The sequence below is a fragment of the Homo sapiens genome, chromosome 3, assembly GCF_000001405.40.
Source record: "Homo sapiens chromosome 3, GRCh38.p14 Primary Assembly".
Taxonomy (NCBI): Eukaryota; Metazoa; Chordata; class Mammalia; order Primates; family Hominidae; genus Homo; species Homo sapiens.
This window is the reverse complement of record NC_000003.12, coordinates 103,634,386-103,653,060: the sequence shown is the minus strand read 5'-3', so window position 1 is coordinate 103,653,060 and position 18,675 is coordinate 103,634,386.

Below are 18,675 nucleotides of genomic sequence, written 5' to 3'. Positions count from 1 at the left end.
GAAGGGAGATGTCATGTACCCACCTATTTAATAAGAATATCTTCAGGAAGACTCAACAGATGTTCTTTTCAGCAAGGCCTTGTACTTGTGACTGTCGCCTGCAAAATGAAAGCAAAGGTATGACTGTTACTATCGATGTGAGATCTTTGATTATACTGAGGATTATATAATACAAGAATAACAGAGGAGAAGCATTAGTACTTAACTACCACGTACTAGGAGATTCTGATTATCATAGTGGGTAGCAGGGAGGCAGCAGTGACCACAATACTATTACACACAGTAGTCTTTGCTATTACCTAATCATGACTTCACCAGGACTGAAATAGATGAAAACCCTACTAAGAGAATACTTGATTATACAACTAAATAATAATAATAATAATAGAAAATAAAATTCAAAAAATTCCTAACAGAGTCCTGAATTCAATCACTATAATGGAAAATTATGGAACTTTTTCTAATTCTTTTACCTGTGTCATTCCACAGAACTTGGCCCCATGAGTTGAGGGGAAGCTATATATCTTGAGAAAAACCTCTCAAATTGCCCTAAGTATATTTTCTACATTTTCCACCCAGCATTCACTAAAATGATTAGGGTCCATCTACAAATATTAATGGGTACTCGGGAAAAGGTAGAAAGTTGGACATTGGTTCTGAGCTAATACCAAACCCCAGGTATTAGGATACAACTCTACTACACTGGTCAGAGGGATAGCTTATGGGGATAAAAATTTAGCCACATTAATCTAATCTATATATCTGAAGTTTTATTTTGACTCTGGGTCACACTCTCTTGATTCTTTGCATGTCTCATAATTTTTGATTATACGTCAGATGTCATTGTGCCTTAATGAGTCTTATAGGCTGAAGCTTTTCTTTTCTTCCTTCCTTCCTTCCATTTCTTTGTCTATTTCTCTCTCTCTACCTCCCTCTATCCTGCCCTTCCTTCTTTTTTTGCCATTTACCTCTTTTTCTTTCTCTCTTTTTCTTTTTTTTAAATAAGAATCGGCATTTATTTTTCCTGTAAACACAAAGAATGAGATTAGGGAGACCCAATAAGAAATTGAGTTTGTCTGAAGAAGGGTTGCAGTTAAATTACTTTAAGCAAAACCTGAGAGTGCAAGCAAGTCTTTCCTTGAATTTCAGCACAGTACCTAACTTTCTGTTTCTCCACTGGTTTAATATCTTTGATCATATTAGAAATTGAATTTGCTTTTCAATGCCATTTTGGCTGGATATATCACCTCACTTTTTCGAAACTTAAAGGTAAGTTTAGGCCTTTTCCTTCAGGAGAGCTATTTAACTAAAATACTGTGAAACTTATTGATCTAAAAATAGTCAGAATACAAATAAGATGAACTTCAAAACTTTTAGAACACAAAGATGCCACACTGGGAATCTGATAGACCTCAAGACTATGAGAGCATGAGCTTTTGAGGCTGGGAAAATCAGGGACTGTATTACCCCAACCGTGAGATTGTGAGAGTGCACATTAAAAGAATAACTGCACACTGAGGTTCCAATACTGCATGAGACTTTTAGATAGTTAGATAAGAGTGCAGGACTGTCAGATACTGATGTCAGGAGACTCCAAGATTTCTAGACCACAAGATTTATTTCCACCCTCCTGTCCTGTCTCTAGTCTCTACTTTCTCAGCAAAATCCCCATTTAGGATAATTATTTGGCAGAGAGCATTGTCTTTGCTTTGGGTGTTACTGTAGATTCAAATCCAGCACACAAACCAATTTGTCAAAAGATTGACCAGTGTTTTCCAATCTAAGCAAAGGTATCATTCCATGGTAGGATTATTCCTCTGTCTGTCTAGTACCCAACATCATCTGGTGTCAAGTCTAAAAACATCTTTCATTCCTTAGTTATCTAGGGATAGCTCAACTTTATGGAATGCGGGGCTTCGATATTTCTTTATTTTCAGATCTCTCTTACAGTTTTAAAGAAAAGAATGGATTTTTAAAAGCTTATATGGTGATAATGATAACTTTCATTTTCATTTATATCCTAACTAGAAAAAGACCCATATAATATGTTTTAATATTTGGTAGTTGCACTCTTCAGGATTCTTTACTAGTATAAGTGGTTTCTGTTTTGTGTTTCTGTTTTTGATTTCTCATTGTTTTTCTTTTATCTTTACTGAAAAAAATAGTGTTATTAAGAAATGACTAGAATATGATAAGAACCTCACTGATACAATTTTTTAAACATGATTTTGGTATATGCCTAGTTGTACCTAGAAACAAAGTATTTCTTGTAACTGATAGCTCATGGACAGAAAAAATATGCAGTTAATACACTGACATACTCATGTCATTCTCTTCATCATTTAAAAATAATGTGTAACATGGGAATATTAATGAATTTTAAGTAAATGTATTACAGTATTATGTCAGAACATGAGGTACTCTCTTCCTCCTACTGCCTCTATAATGGGACTCAAGGACAGATATATATATATATATATTTTTTTTCTGATTTTTTAAGTCAGAAAAAATCAGAAGTCTTGAGTTCAAATACCAATTCCACAGTCAAATATTTTGTAATCTTGACCAATTTCACTCACCTCTATACTCCCTAATATTTAGTTTGTCTGTACATAAGACATAATGATGGCAAATACCTTAGAGTATTATGTCAGATGGAATGATTGAATGCAGGCAAAGCACTTACAACTCTGAATTTAATGGCTTTTTCCTTCTAATCCTCTCATCTCTTTGCCTATTGCTCTTCTTGTGTTCTCTTTCCTTTAAGTTAAAATAGATGCTTTTCTGATAGTATTCTGTAAATATTTGTAAATAAAACTCTAATTGTCTACTGATCTTTTGTAATCCTCATATCTTATAAAGAAAAATAATTTGCCAGGAAAAAAAATGTAAACAAAACTATTTTCTGTGGTAAAACCCAATTCCATTGAATTTTCTTTAGAAAGTGTTCTTGAAACTTGAAAATAGCTTTCAATTTGCGATTTGGTGAAGTAGGCTATAGAAGTGATTCCATGTCAACTAGTTGTGTGACATCAGATTGTCTCTGTTGTCCTCTGGTATAAGTTTCTTCAATTAAAAGAGAGAGAATATTTGGTTATGATCACTTAGAACCTATTTGTGTTTTAAAATACTTTGAAAATAAATACAGGTAATACTTTGTTTTATGACCATTAAAAAAAATCATTTTAACCTAGTTAAATCTTGGAGCTTTGAGAATACTACTTAAATATGATTCCTTAAAATTACTAATATTTTGGTACATAACCCAATAATGTGACTAGCCTTAACTGAAATAAGTATGGAAATTTTGAGGTTAGAGCTTTTCTTAAAACCCAGATTGATCATTCTTGAAAATTGCTCTTTAAATTGAGGGAATCAAAAATTACTAAAATAGTAACAGTATTTGTCAAGGTATATTTAAGTGTGTGACAGTGACAAATAATAGTACTTGGAGCATTTATCTTCAAAGGAAGGAAAGAAAAATTAGGGCCTAGAATAAAGTCTATGCAGCATAGCTTGCCTGGAGCAAGGATTATAATCTTTGATCTGTCTCCTTCCTTAGTGGAACTCCAGGGAATCCACAACCAAGCCCAGTAGTTGTCACAAATGCCGAAAGCACAACTTTATCAAAGTAATGTGCTTGCCCTTGCCACTAATAGGGCTATACGACTAAATTCTGCGTGAAGTGTACAATGTGAGTTTACAGTGTGAAAACTGGGTTGTTCTTTGGATCCTATTCAAATGTGACTTACTCTATTGTGGAAGAAATAGGCAATTCCTTCTTTCTTTATTTCTTTATGGTGAGTGGTATATTAATATTTGAAAAACAATGCACTAAAAAATTCAATCAGGGCTCTGTCTCTATTCCTTCCCTGGCCAGAATTTAAGAATATTCCTTAACCCAGATTCTAGGTAGAATCAAGATAGTTCAATCCTATTACAGAGAAAAATTAAAGCTATCAGCCGATAATAAATTTGTGTGTGTGTGAAATAAGAAAATTCCTGTCATAAAAATAATTATCACCAGAAATCATAAAAACTATACCTGATAATTGCAAATACTTTTGTGAATGAATGAATGGACCTGGGCATTGTTAACAATTCAAATAATTTAGTTGTCACATACGGCCTATGAAATATACATTGCTCTTTATGTTACTGAAACTCCTTTTCCATACACTAGTTTTCTGCAGAATGTGACTGAGTGTGGTCACCTGTCATTGATATTAAAATATCATATGCTTATAATTAAGTTCTCACTTGGGAGAAATAACATATCATATTCCTCTGGCCATGGATGGAGTAGACCTTAGCTTCAATGTTTGTAGTGCCCCTAAAGACAGAAACAAATACACACAATAAAATCCTCAACTTTGAATCTTTATAAAACTATGAAACAAGTAGTTTGTTCCATAGTTCACTCCTAGGGTTGAAGTATATTACTTTGGTTTATCACTTTGTTGAATATATATAAGTTGAGAATCAGTTACACTTTTTATAAGGCACAGACACTCAACTGATGCTTGAATTGCTTGAAAGAGTGAAACGGTGAAGATACAATGAAACTCACAACATAATATGTAGACACTGGGAACTCTTCTCAAACACTGGGAAAACTTCCCTTCTGAGGCCACTACAGGGTATGTTCAAGGATAACTACAACTTGGATCTAAAAGTTGGTATAAGGTTGGGGGATGTTATGAACTTAATTGTATCCCCCCTCCAAATTTCTATATTGTAGCCCTAATCCCCAGTGTGACTGTGTTTGGAAATAAGCTTTTTAAAATATAATTAAGGGTAAATGAAAGTTATAACAGTGGAGCCTTTTGTCCTTACATAAGGAGGAAGAGATAGCACGAGTGTGCATGCTCAGAAGAAAGGTTATGGGAGGACACAGTGAAGATGCCCATCTGCAAATGAAGGAGAGAAACCTCACTAGCAACTATCCCTGCCAGCACTATAATCTTGGGCTTCCAAGCTCCAGAACTGTGAGAAAATAACCTATATTTTTTAAACAAACCAGTCTATGGTATTCTGTTATGGTAGTCTTAGTACACTAACACAGAGGATATAGGAGTTTGGGGCTAGGAAGGCATAAAAGTCAACCAGAGTTAGGCAGGGCACAATAGCTCACATTTATAATCCCAGCACTTTGGAAGACTGAGGTGGGCAGATCGCCTGAGGTCAGGAGTTCGAGACCATCCTGACCAACATGGAGAAATCCCGTCTCTACTAAAAATACAAAATTAGCCGGGCGTGGTGGTGGGCACCTGTAATCCAAGCTACTCAGGAGGCTGAGATAGGAGAATCACTTAAATCCCGGAGGCGGAGGTTGAGGTGTGGCAATATTGTGCTATTGCACTGTAGCCTGAGCAACAAGAGCGAAACTCCGTCTCAAAAAAAAAATAAATAAATAAGTCAGCCAGAGTTGTGGTGTTAATATCTATCATTTGGGTGATCCCAGACTGGCACATGAGACACTCGAGAAATATTTCCTTGTATTGTTTTCCCAATAGCTATTATCAGTAAAGAAGCCTTATGAATAAATACTAGGTCTCCGGGTATGCTGATTTCCCATATTGTTACTAGATTCTGTTCAGACTCAGAAAACTTAGACTTCAAAACTTGCCAGACATAGTACCCCAAATCAATCTTATCTCTATAGGGCACAAAAAGATGGTTAAGCAGACGTTCATTTGCATTGGCTCATCTCAACTAACACAAAACCAAACCCATTTACTAAAGCATGGTTTTCTGTTTCTGGATAGAATTTCATATACATAGCCCTTTGGTGTGTTAAGCAGTTGACTCAAGAGTAGATATTTGTAGGTTTTTTTTTCCCCAAACCTAGATGCTCTATAGATAAAAGCCCACCACAGTTATCATCTTGAAAAAGTTTAAAACTTGGCTATGCCCTATAGTTTATTGACTGGTTGATAGACAGATGCTTACTCCAACATCCTCACAGTCCAGACTTGCATAGAACTGTAACCTTTTGATTCTGAAATCTTGACTCTAAATACAGGAAAAAGAAAACAATTGGTGAATTCAACCCTGGGGTTGGTATAAAAATATAAGAGATCATCAGCAAAAGACAAGCTTTTAACCTAATTTTGCCCTCAGTCTTTTGATTTATTGTTCCTTATTTGTGACTGTTCAACAGAGACACTTTGTATTACTTTGTCTACTTTCTTGCAGATATAACCAGATGTGGGATTGATTGACTCTGATCATATTTGTTTCCCTGGAGAATTTTGTCTCTTTAAAACTTTATTTTATCTATACCATTGAGCAAATATAATTCATCATATGGCATAGTTGCCCACTGAAAACTCAAAGTTCAACCGAAGCACCAGAGTATGTACTCTGTAAGTGTTTTGCAGTCCAAATTCATTGCAAAATACCATTATAGAAAAGAAAATAAGTACATGGGGCAGGGTCTTGGGAGTGAATTTTTTAAGGAACATTTTATCTCTTTGGTAAAGATCATTAACTATCATATAACAAACACATGTAATCATCCGTGGTGAGTCTGTTTCTGAAAAACTCAACAATCAATAAAATAAGGATTATAGGAATTTTCTAATCTATTTAAAGTGTTCCAAGGACAAAATCATGATGATTCCAGGCTAAAGTAATAAAGCATTTGCATGGAAAGGATAAAGCATGAAGCAACAGTGGGCTAGAGAGGACATCTATTGTCTCTAACAAGCAGGGATCAGGCTATTTTCCTTCAGATTTTCACTTGCTTTCCTCCCCTAATTATATAGTGATTCTAAAAGCTGAGGTTCTCATGTAAATGATGAGTGGGAACATGAGGCAATTTGAGAGAAAATGGGCCCAGTAGCTATTCTTAAAGTTAAATATAGAGCACATTTTTCTCATCTGCCATCATATTTTATGGCACACATGAAGTATTTACATTAACTACCCTTCAGGTATTTACTGTGTATGTCCTCCAACCCTTACTTCTCATGCCATCCCCCAGGTAATACTTTCAAAGTTTAGATATGGTATAGGCAAATCCCTATGTAAAATCCTTAAACCCCCATTGCTCTGGGGATAAAGACCTAAATCTTTACATAAGCATCATGATAGCCATTGTTTACTTATCCATCCTCATCTCACACCATGTCTCTCCTTAGCTCCACATAGCACAATCACACTAGTCCTGTTTTTTATTCCTGTAATGTGTCAAGATTTGACCTGCCACATGAACAGTGCACATGTTATCCTACACTGAAAAGTTCTTACATCACCTCTGCCCCTTTCCCATCCCTTTTGGAAAGATCCCTCAGACCTCAGCTTAAGTTTTAATCATGTAGGAATGACTTTCCTGACCTCCGAGTCTAGGTCACTAATCTTTGTTATCTTTCCTCATAGGACAGAGGCCCTTTCCTTTACAACAATTGTAGCAGTTTGTATTCATACATCGCTTCTGATTACTTGATTAATTCTTCCCCTCGTCTTATAAAATCAGGGTCACATCTTGCTCAGTACTGTCCCCTTCATTCTGAATATATCTGTCAAACACACACACACACACAGCTAGTATTTGTGAAATAAATGAATGAATTTATACTTTAAAGGATTATGCATAACGAATTCCCAAACATCACTAGGTAATGGGGGTAAATCTGTATATAACATACAACTAGGAGTTTTAAAGAAAGACAGCTATTAGTATGCATCTTAACTAACCAGTGATAAATTGTTAAAGTAATGGAAAACAAATACATACACGGCAGGCTTTATAAAAACTGATTTAAAATGATTAAAAACAGGAACATGTAATTACTAATGACAACTTTAATAGATTCTGAGGATACAAATAGGCAGAGGGGTTATGCACCTAGGTATTGATGTCAACATGGTTTTAATGACTGTTTAAAACTGAGACTGTCATACTTCAAATCAAAATTCCTTCATAAATGATACCTTTCTGGAACCAAAACTATCTATATGTGCTGAGGGCAGCATTGTTTTTCTCACATACCAATTTCCTGCAACTCCTAGCTCAGCTCAAATTCTTAGTATACTGTGGGAATAATTTCAAAATTTGGTCATTAAACAAATCTATAACAAGAGATATGTCATTCTTATTCTTGATAACAAACAGATGTTCAGAGCAGCTTGTGTCCAATTATGATACGAATGCTTAAAATCTGCGTTAATATACAATCTCCACTCTTCGTAATCAGAGGCAAAGATGAGTGTGCTTTTTCAGAGAATTTATTTTAATGATGCTTTAATGGGTAGTACAAGCTACAATGAATAAAGTCAGCACTGACAGGTGGCACAAAATCCAAAGACAAGCTATCATTCCCTACTCTACAAAGAGGGTTTTGTGGTTGCTTTTTTTTTCACTCTACTTCGTAATACTGCTTGACCACAATGGCCACAGCAACCACAAATCACCTCCAATGTTTTTCTAGATTACATTATGGAATGAATGGCTTATCATAGAATCTCTTGTAGAAAGAAAACAAATGTCACAGGATAAATTAGGTTACACTGGAAGAACCATATTCATTTCCTAGGAAAAGAGAAACAAAAATTTAAGAACATACACTCCAAAGACACAAACACTATCTTTAGTGTATACACGTTTTACCTTGTCATTACTATAAAATTGTTTGTGTGTGCCTATATGTGCCTGTGTGTGTTGTATGTGTAGTTTCTAAAATACTGCATGGGATTTCTAGACTTCATAGTAACAACTTTAGAAGTTGTCAGTTTAGGATTTCCTCACTCAGAACTTTGTCAAAAGACTGTGATGTGCCTCACAGAGAGCCTTAAGAACATGTGCTCATTAAGTATTTGTAAATTACATTTTGTAAGCTTTTGGTCTATTGACTGTATTCACTTTCAACAATTTCCTCATAGGAACTAGAATTTCCTTTAGAATAAAGTGAATTATCTAAGAGCAAAAAGCAGTTGGATTTCTAATAAAGGATCACCCTCATCAATCCTGATTTATTGAATTATCTTTTATTTCTTCTGGTATCGATACTATGGTATGATGGTCTCATTTATCAAACAAGTTATAGAATCAATATTAATTAATTAATTAATTTACCAATTAAATTCCTTAGATAATGAAATGAATAAAATCTTTTCATTATATTAGGTGATTATTTTTAAGTATACATTCTAGAGAATAATATTGATTCTGTTAAACTCAATTGTTTAAAAGTTTGATACATTTTAAAATCTTATATTGAGATTATAATTGACCCAACTACTATTTTTTTAATTTGTTTAAATTACAGAACATTAGTGGCATATAAGAAATACAAACTATCATAAATGGAATATCAAATAAGAGCAATTATTATTAATAATAGTATTATTTATATCTAATAATAGAAAACTACATCATGACTTTAGAAGATTATCTTAATAGTAATTATTTTCATACTTATGAGAATTTATACGATAATTAATCTGTTTATTGGAACAAAAATCTCCAAATGGACTAGTGATTTTTGTCCGTTTATGTATGAGTGAAATCGTTTTACCTTAATAGAAGACCTTCTCTCTAGGACAATATTTTTATATATGTATTTCTAAATAGATAGGATTTACTTAAAAGATGCTTTATGTTTTACAATAGAAATAGAAAATAAAAGTATAATTAATTGATGTGTTAGTAGTTTCCCCATTTATATATATATATATATATTATATATATATATATAATTTTTTTGATGGAACATTCTGCCATAGTACCTTACACTATATTTTTTTACCGCATGTTATAAAAACATGTATGTTATGTTTCTTTAGCTTATGAAAATATTAATGCTTACATGCAGGTGAGCAGTGTAAACACATAAATTATTTGAATAGTGAAGAATAGCTGAATCATTCCTAAATTATCACATTTCTAATAAGTTGACCACCATGGGAAGATCTGCAGAATGAAATCAACTACTAAAGGTGTAACTTCTAATGATCAATATGATTGGGACAAAAATTAATAATGTGTCAATATTCTTAACATCTACCTTTCTCTCCAACATATTCTTTGGCATTTTATGAAACTGAATAATGAAAATAATAAGAAGAGGAAAAGAGGGGAATTTTTTTCAGAATAGAGTTGAAATTACTTAAGAGGGCTCTAGGGAAATTGTGGAATTAAGAAGAAATGCCAAATGAACTGGATGAAACAGAGTTTTATATGACTGCTAACATTTGAGGGGGAATCATCAACAAGTAGGGAAAATTGACAGTGGGTGAGAATTTGAGAAAAGTATTAAGTATATTTTTTATGCATTAAGATTGTTTTCATTTTGATTTCCATGTCCTCAAGGTATGGTTTAATGATTAAAATGAGTTTTAACTCAAATTATTTGCTGATTTGTGCTTCTTTGAAACTATATTATTTAGATACCGGACAAGCTCAGTATCCACTTAACATTTTGGTTACATACACCAATGTCTATAATAAAAACTAGATATCTCACTTCATTAAAAAGTCCAATATTTTTAAGGATGAGTTAATAGGTCAACATTCTTTGCTTAGTTTTTTTAATGTAAAAATATTTTGTTAATGTATTATGCTTATTAGAAATAAAGTCTGTGAATAAATGCTGTTAATAGTTTCACATTAAACAAGTCAATTACATTATGACAGAAAATTAAAACTATTAATTGTACTCAAATTGCAGTGGAAACAGAAAAATATAAAATTTTTCATGAGTTCACATAAATGGAAGCTGTTATAGATAAGGAGCTAAGCAAATATCTATATCAATGTCTACCTGTCATCTCAAATCTATATATCTACTTCTATAATTTTATAACAACATTTTTCAGAGGTGCAAAAATCTGAATGTTCTGCAATAAATAATAATTAAATGACATATGCTGCATACATAATTGAAAACAGTATGGATTTTAAAGACTGAATTATATTTCTATGGATTTATCAGAGATACAACCATAATTTATTTTACAATTTAATAAATCAATCTTTATAATAATGTGTTAATACCATTCTGTTTTCATTGTGCAAGGAAGCATAGTATGTATATGTTCATCTATTTCAATATTTTTGAGGATAGACAATTGTGTAATCAAGAGCATACTAAATATGATTTTAATTTTTAGGGAGTTAGAACTTGAATGATTTAAAGACATATTATCAACTTCTTGTTTACAAATTCATAGTGTTTAATTTGTTACAATTCCTATTTATTTTTGTCTTTTTACAATATTCAGTAAAGTGGAGAAGGAAAAAATGTATTTCAGACAACTCAAGTATTTATAGTTGATATACAAATGTACACTGCTTAATTATAAATTATTACATTTGCTTGCTCCAACTTAACTATAGCAATCCATGTTATCTTGACAGTATCAAAACAGTAAGTATCTGTCATTACTGATTTGATAAAATATAACTTCCTTTCTGAGTGCACTATTCCAGTGAAATTAAACTTCTGTTGATGTCAAGTTATGTGATCATCTAACTCTTTTAAATATAAGATATTCTGTGCTTGGATATCAACTTCTAATATTTTGAAAGTAATACTATCTACTATGAATTACAGGAACTGTAGAATAAAAATCAGTAAAGGAAATTGGGTCTAATACCTACAAATTTACTGTGTAAGTAGAGTGACCTTAAGATTTATGGTCAGAAAGCACAGGAGAGACAGAGCAATGTTTTTTCTTCTTCCTCTGTTGATAATTGTGAGAAGATACATGGGCTCCTCAGATGTAAAATTTAACATTCTATGATTCCCCGCTATTTCGTCCACCTTAGAATTGCAAAGACGTTTTAAAGTTATCCATTGTTTTCTACAGGTTTTTTTTGACCCAAGACAGCAGCAGTTCTGCCTTTTTGTGACAGTAAAATTAAAAATTAAGGCAATCACATAGACTATTTTTCTTCAAGAGTTTTGTAAACACGTAATTCCCTGTTTCTCTCTTTCATCTCTATCTAATTTAAGGGGTAAAAGTGGAAGCAAATAGCCCAGTTCTGTGCCTATTCCACTAATGCAGGCAGGAGGGGTTGGTAATAGGAAGTTACACTTAAAGTCATGTTCTGGAGATATTGGAAGATGACCCAACAGGATTTCTTCATGACCTAAATGTCAAATTTAAGACTGAGGCCAAGAACTGCTTTAAGGATAACTGTAACTCTAATGTCCCATGGCATGTCAACTGATGCCATAAAGAAGAGAAGAGGTACCCAAAAGAATGACAGAGATTAACTAGTGACCAAGTAGGAAAATCATGAGAGTGGCATTCGGATGCAATGGGAAGAAAGTGCATCAAAGGGAGACAATCATCAACGAGGTCAAATGCCACCTAAAGGTCAATAAAGATGAAGACTCATAGAGATGAACAAAACTAATAAGATTTTTTTAAAAATGGCACTTGCAAGAACAGTTTTAGCAAATTGTTGAAGACTAAACATCAAAAAAAAATTGCAAGGAGATCACCTACCTTAATTTTAGGCTCAGTTTTATGAGAATTACGGGAGAAACGAAACAAAACCTGATAGAATTTGAAAAAGCTGCGGGGAACACAAGTGCCTTCAAGAGGGGGCAAAGTTTCTGTTAGAGTGAGAAAGTTATGAGGATGATCAGAAAACAGTTTGAGTTTGAAAACCATGAATAGAAGGAAAGGTAAAGAGTTACAGGAGCTGGTAAGGGTGAGATTGATAGAACAGAGTATTTGACGATCATACAGAGATTGGGCTCATGGGATAAAGTGCCCTCTTTTGTTGGCTAATATAAAAAAGATAAAAGACATAATGAAACACTGAAAATAGGGTCATTTAGACATACATATTTTAATATTACATATACGCCCATATATGTATATCCACCTGTTCCTGATTTTCTATTCTCATCACAGCTGGAATCTGAGCATTCCAATTTCATAGTGCCAGTCCCACAAACCAATCATCTTTCAAGTGTCCCATAGCTTTCCCAAAAGAGGAAATGCGTGCTACTTTCTCTCTGAGTGATTTCTTCTGTTATGGCACTTTCTCACTGGTGCAGAGCCAAAGCTAAGGGAAATGGCTTGTTTGTATTGTTCTCTCTTTGCAAGCCAAATGGAAAATAGCAGCATTTTTAAACACCTGTTTTGAGACTTCTCTAGTTACAGAAAATAGTTGAGCATGATACAGATGAGCCGTGAGAACAAACTGAACCCTTAAAGAATAATACAATGATACTCAACTGTGACGAAAAATTAAAACAAACAAAAAATTGCATGGATCTTGTAGGAGAGGTACACTGAATGTTAAATAAAACACTTCCTGAACTATTGCAGTTGCCTGCCACCCAGGATCTGCTATTTAGAGTGTGACTTTTCTCTTTTTTTTAGGCTTATTGATGGGAATAAACATATCTAGGTAAACTTGCTGTGGTCTAATTAATGAAAATTTCTGTAATACCTTGAATTAAGGTGGCAAGTCGGGGAAGAGACAGATTTTAAATACCTATTAGCCTCTAGTGAAGGTATCTGTGCCCCAAGCATTTTCTCTAATTGATTGACTATTTCTCAAATATATAGCCCCATGTGAAAATGTATGCAAATGCTCCTCCAATGAATACAATCAAAACATTATTTTAAATGTTGTTACATTTATAGGCATTTTTGCCAGTATGTTTTCTCATTAAAACCACATCTGGGAATCTGATGTTTTCATGTTTAAAAATTTTTTTTAAGTATGTATTAAGCTATTTAGAGGGAACTATCTTTTTGCTGTAGTAGAGTGATAATGACTTTTTAAAAGAGGGAATCCTTTGACTTTGGTAAAAGCTGAAATCATAATCATAGATCATGAGCTAACCCTTCCTTGCCTCATCTTACTCATTATTAATTCAATGTTCAGTATCTCCTGAATTTATCAAAATGTTCAATAAAGCAAATTCATAGTAAATATTATTATAAGTTATAAACCCAATCACTCACACCAGTCTTAAATTCATGCAGAATAAACTACTATTCAGAGGAGTGACAATCAGATGTTTTCAGACCTGTTTATGTTTCAGGACACAGACTCCCAGGCTCCCTCTCAGATGTACCAAATTATCTGAGAAGTCTCATTATCTGTAGTTTATAAGGCCCTCTAAGTGATATAATGCATAATGGAATTGGAAAACAAGGAGTTAAGTGATGTGAACATATTTGTCTTGCATAAGTGTACTTTCAGGAAAAAGAAAGCAATGATATGTAAGATACCCTCCTTTTGGTTATTAATCAGTATTCAAAAGTTATAATTATCCATCTTGAGACCTTAATATCTCGGCTTGAATTCGTTGATCAAATCCTTTATTATCCAACAGTTCTTTCTGGTTGGCAGAATGGGTTACATGTAGTGTAGGGTGAAAAGAAGATACCAAATATGAATAAGGAGACAGAAGGCATTGCAGGTATATCTTGCATTTTCACAATTTTGTGTGAAATAGCTTATGTTAGAGAAAGAAGCCAGGCTCCAGTTAACATTAAGTGACACCAGTGCTTAGTCTACTTCATTATAATTGAATTTCTAGATGAGAATAACGACCAGTATAACTAGGGAGGAAGGACGGTTTACAAGTTGAAAGAGTTCTTCAGGCATATACTAAAATGGAATTAAATATTGGAAGTAAATTACCTTTAGTCTTGATGATGATGTAGTTACTATAAGCAATCAAAAATCACAAAGTGCCAAAGTGCTTCTGTGTACTCCAATACATGGGATCAAATGCTACTAGCTAATTCATCAGAAAGCTCATGCCACATTTCTTGGCTGCGTTATGAGATTTTCTTAAAGCAAGGCGACATACACAGGGGTCTGCACAGGGAGACTTGACATGAGCCTGAAAGTTTGTCATCCAAATCTATCCCCTCTTGCTAAATTCTGAAATTCCATAATAATTTATGTTGTCATTCTGTTAAGTCCTGTCTTCTTTATTTCTAAAATGACATGGAGGTACTCTTAATAAGAAATAATATATTATTTCACTAGTTTAATAGTATACATTAATTTATAAATATTTCTGTTTCTGTTAAAAGAGATTAGGTGAGATTTGGGTACTTTATGGAAAACAAAACAAAAACACCAAAATAAAAAAAAAAGAAGAAAGACCACCATTTTCATATTAATAATTTATCTTAAAGCAATCCTTTTTCCTTGGGCATCACTTACTCTTCTGCCTTTCTAGCAAAACAGTAGGACTCTGGTCACTGCTACTAGCTAGGCACCCAATATTCAGATCCCCAAATACCCTCAACATCTGGCATTCCTGTTCACATCTCATTCCCAATGATATGTATGATTTTTAAAAAGATTCCCCAAAAGAAAGCTGATAAACAGTTTGCCTCACTGGGACAAAGCTATATTTTATTCCATGTATTTGGGTATTTTGTTTATATAATATTTATGAATAAAAAATATATATTTTCCTTAGAAAAAGACAAAATAAAATATAATTATGAATTTGACATGTTCTATAGGATTTTAAAAACAAGGAAACAAAAAATACTAAACGTCCTTTGAAAGTTTCTAGAATTAGAATTTGATCTAAATTTGTGACTTGGTGGATGTAGAGAGAACAAAAAGGCATACATATTTCAGCCCAGAGGCTTATGTTTTTCTCTGAACTAGCAGATTGTTTTCAGAAACATGCCACAGACTGCCAGGAGCTTTGCTCTGCATTCTATGCCATTCCTAGTGGGGGTCAATGGATAACGATGCTTCCCCGACACATTATCTAATCACAGGCGAGGCTTTTAGCTTTATTGCAATCACTATACTGTATGATAGAATAGAACTAGTAATGGCTTAACTTCTCTGGACTGGAGGTAGGAAGTACTTTACAAATTTGTCTCAGCTGCTTTGTATCAGTTGCAAAAGGCATTTCTCTATTGAACCACATTTCTGTTAATGCTTTGCACACACACAACTGGGACCACGAATAAATCAGTAATAATTTAAATTGATCAAAACTCATGTTCTATGTTCACATTTTAAAATTTAGTCCAAAAACTCACTCTCCAGAGATATCAAAGACCCCTAATAATTCAGTAGTTTATTTTCAAGATGCATGGCTCAATTTGATGATGGCTTTTTTACTAATGCTAAAGACCAATTTTGCATTGACATAAGATTTAAAGGTTGAATTTAGAGACTGAATATTAGAACAGTGCTGTAAGTAATTAATATTTTCAAAATATATAAAGAACATATGATTATAATTCTGAATTGGGCAGATTTTGACATGGGTTTTTATTAGTTCATGAAACATTTTTATCATCTTTAAGCTTCAGATGAACAACTGTAACTCTATTAGGACCCCAAATCTAAAATTAAGTCTAGGTTTATTCCATGCAAAAACTAATCATTGGGACTCCACCTTCCGTGAATGAGGTCGTGGAGTCTGACGTAAAACTAGAGTGCTTTTTAGCTCCTAGTTTGGTATAAGAATAAGACCCATTTGCATTATCTTTAACAACCTATACTTTTTCTCTTTAAGAAATTACACTTATTTTTAAAAATGAAAGAAAAATCATCAAAAGGGTACAATTAAAATAAACACAAATAAGAAAAAGAAATTTATCAAATTTATTTTTACTGTATATATTTAGGTTTATAACATGATGTATCACTGTACATATACATAGTGAGATGATGGCTATAGCCAAGCAAATTAACATATCGATCATATGGATATCCACTGTTACAGTCAGGTAAATTAACATATCCGTCTATACCCTTTGTGTGTGTGTGTGTGTGTGTGTGTGTGTGTGTGTGTGGTAGCATAACCTAAAATCTACTCTCTTAGCAAACTTCCAGTAGTATATAACACAATATTATTAACTATAGTTCTAATGCTGTACATTAGATCTCAAGGCTTATTTATCCTCCCTGACACTGTACCCTTCAACCTCGATCTTCCTATCCTCCAAGCCATTTTTCTACTCTCTGTTTCTATCTATTTGAGAATTTAGGGGAGACATTTGAGTGTGTGCGTATATGTGTTTTGATTCCACGCATAAGTGAGATCATGCAGTATTTTTCTTTCTGTGCTTGATTTATTTCACTTAGCATAATGTCCTCTAGGTCCTCCATTGATGTTGTCAAAATAACAGTATTTCCTTTTTAAATAATGAATTAATGATATTCCATTATGTGTACACACACACACACTCACACAAATATTTTTCTGTATCCATTTTCTTTATTCACTCAACTGAAGTGTCCACAAATTCACTGGACACTATTTGTGGACTTTTTTTATAGACACTTCAGTTGTTTCCGTATCTTGGCTATTGTGAATAATACTGTGATTAACATAGAGTGCATACATCTTTATGAGGTGGTGATTTCATTTCCTTTGTGTATATATGCAGCAAAATGATTACCAGGCCATACATTAGTTCCATTTTTAATTTCTTTGGCATCTCTATATTGTTTTCCACAATGGCTAAACCAATCTACATTCCCACCAACAGAGTACAAGGGTTCTCTTTTCTGCACGCCCTTGCCAACACTATTATTTCTTGTGTTTTTGATAATAGCTATTCTAACTGGTGTGAGGTAATATTTCATTGTGGTTTTAATTTGTATTTCCCTGATGAGTCCTAATACTGACCAGCTTATCCTATACTGTTGGCCATTTTTACCTCTTCTTTAGAGAAATGCCTATTCAGGTCCTTGGATCAATTTGATTAAATTGTTTTGTTTTTTGATCTTGAGTTATGTGAGTTCCTTAGATATCTTGAATACTAACCTGTTATATGATATATGGCTCACAAATGCTTTCTTCCAATCAATTGGCTGCCTTTCATTTTGTTCATTGTTTCCTTTGCTGTGCAGAACCTTTTTGGCTTGATGTAGTCCCACTTGTTTACTTTTGCTTTTATTGTCTGTGCTTTTGGTGAGATAACCCAAAAATCCTTGCTAAGGCTAATATTAAGGAACTTTACTCCTGTGTTTTTTCTAAGAGTTTCAGGTCTAATGTTCAGCTCTTCAATATTCATTTTGAGCATATTTTTGTGTATAGTGTAATATAAGGGTCCAGTTTCTTTCTGTCATTTTTCTGTTTTTTTTTTTTTGCATGTGAACATCCAGTTTGTTTAACACCATTTATTGAAGAGACTCCCATTTATCTATTGTGTCTTATTGGGGTGTGGTCAAAAATTGGTTAAGCATATATGCTTGGGTTTATTGCTGGGCTGTCTTTTCTGTTATATTGCTCTGTATGTCAGTACAGATATATGTTTTTATGTCAGTACCATATTGTTTTGATTACCATTGCTTTTAATATAACTTGAAATCAGGGAGTGTGATGGCTTCAACTTTAACTTTCTTTATTAATATCATTTTGACCTCGGGGTATTTTGTGGTTCTATACAAATTTAAGAATTGTTTTTTCTATTCATGTAAAAAATGTCAGTAAAATTTTGACAAAGATTGCATTGAATCAGTATATCACTTTAGGTAGTATGGACATTTTAATATATTAATTCTTCTGATATGCAAAAACTAGATTTTTTTCATTTACTGTGTCTTTTTCAATTGCTTTCATGAATGTTTCATAGTTTTCAGTATAAGGATCTTTCACTTATTTGGTTAAATATATTCCTAAGTATTTATTTCTTCTTGATGCTATTGTGAATGGAATTGTTTTCTTGACTTCTTTTTTGAATATATCATTAATTGGT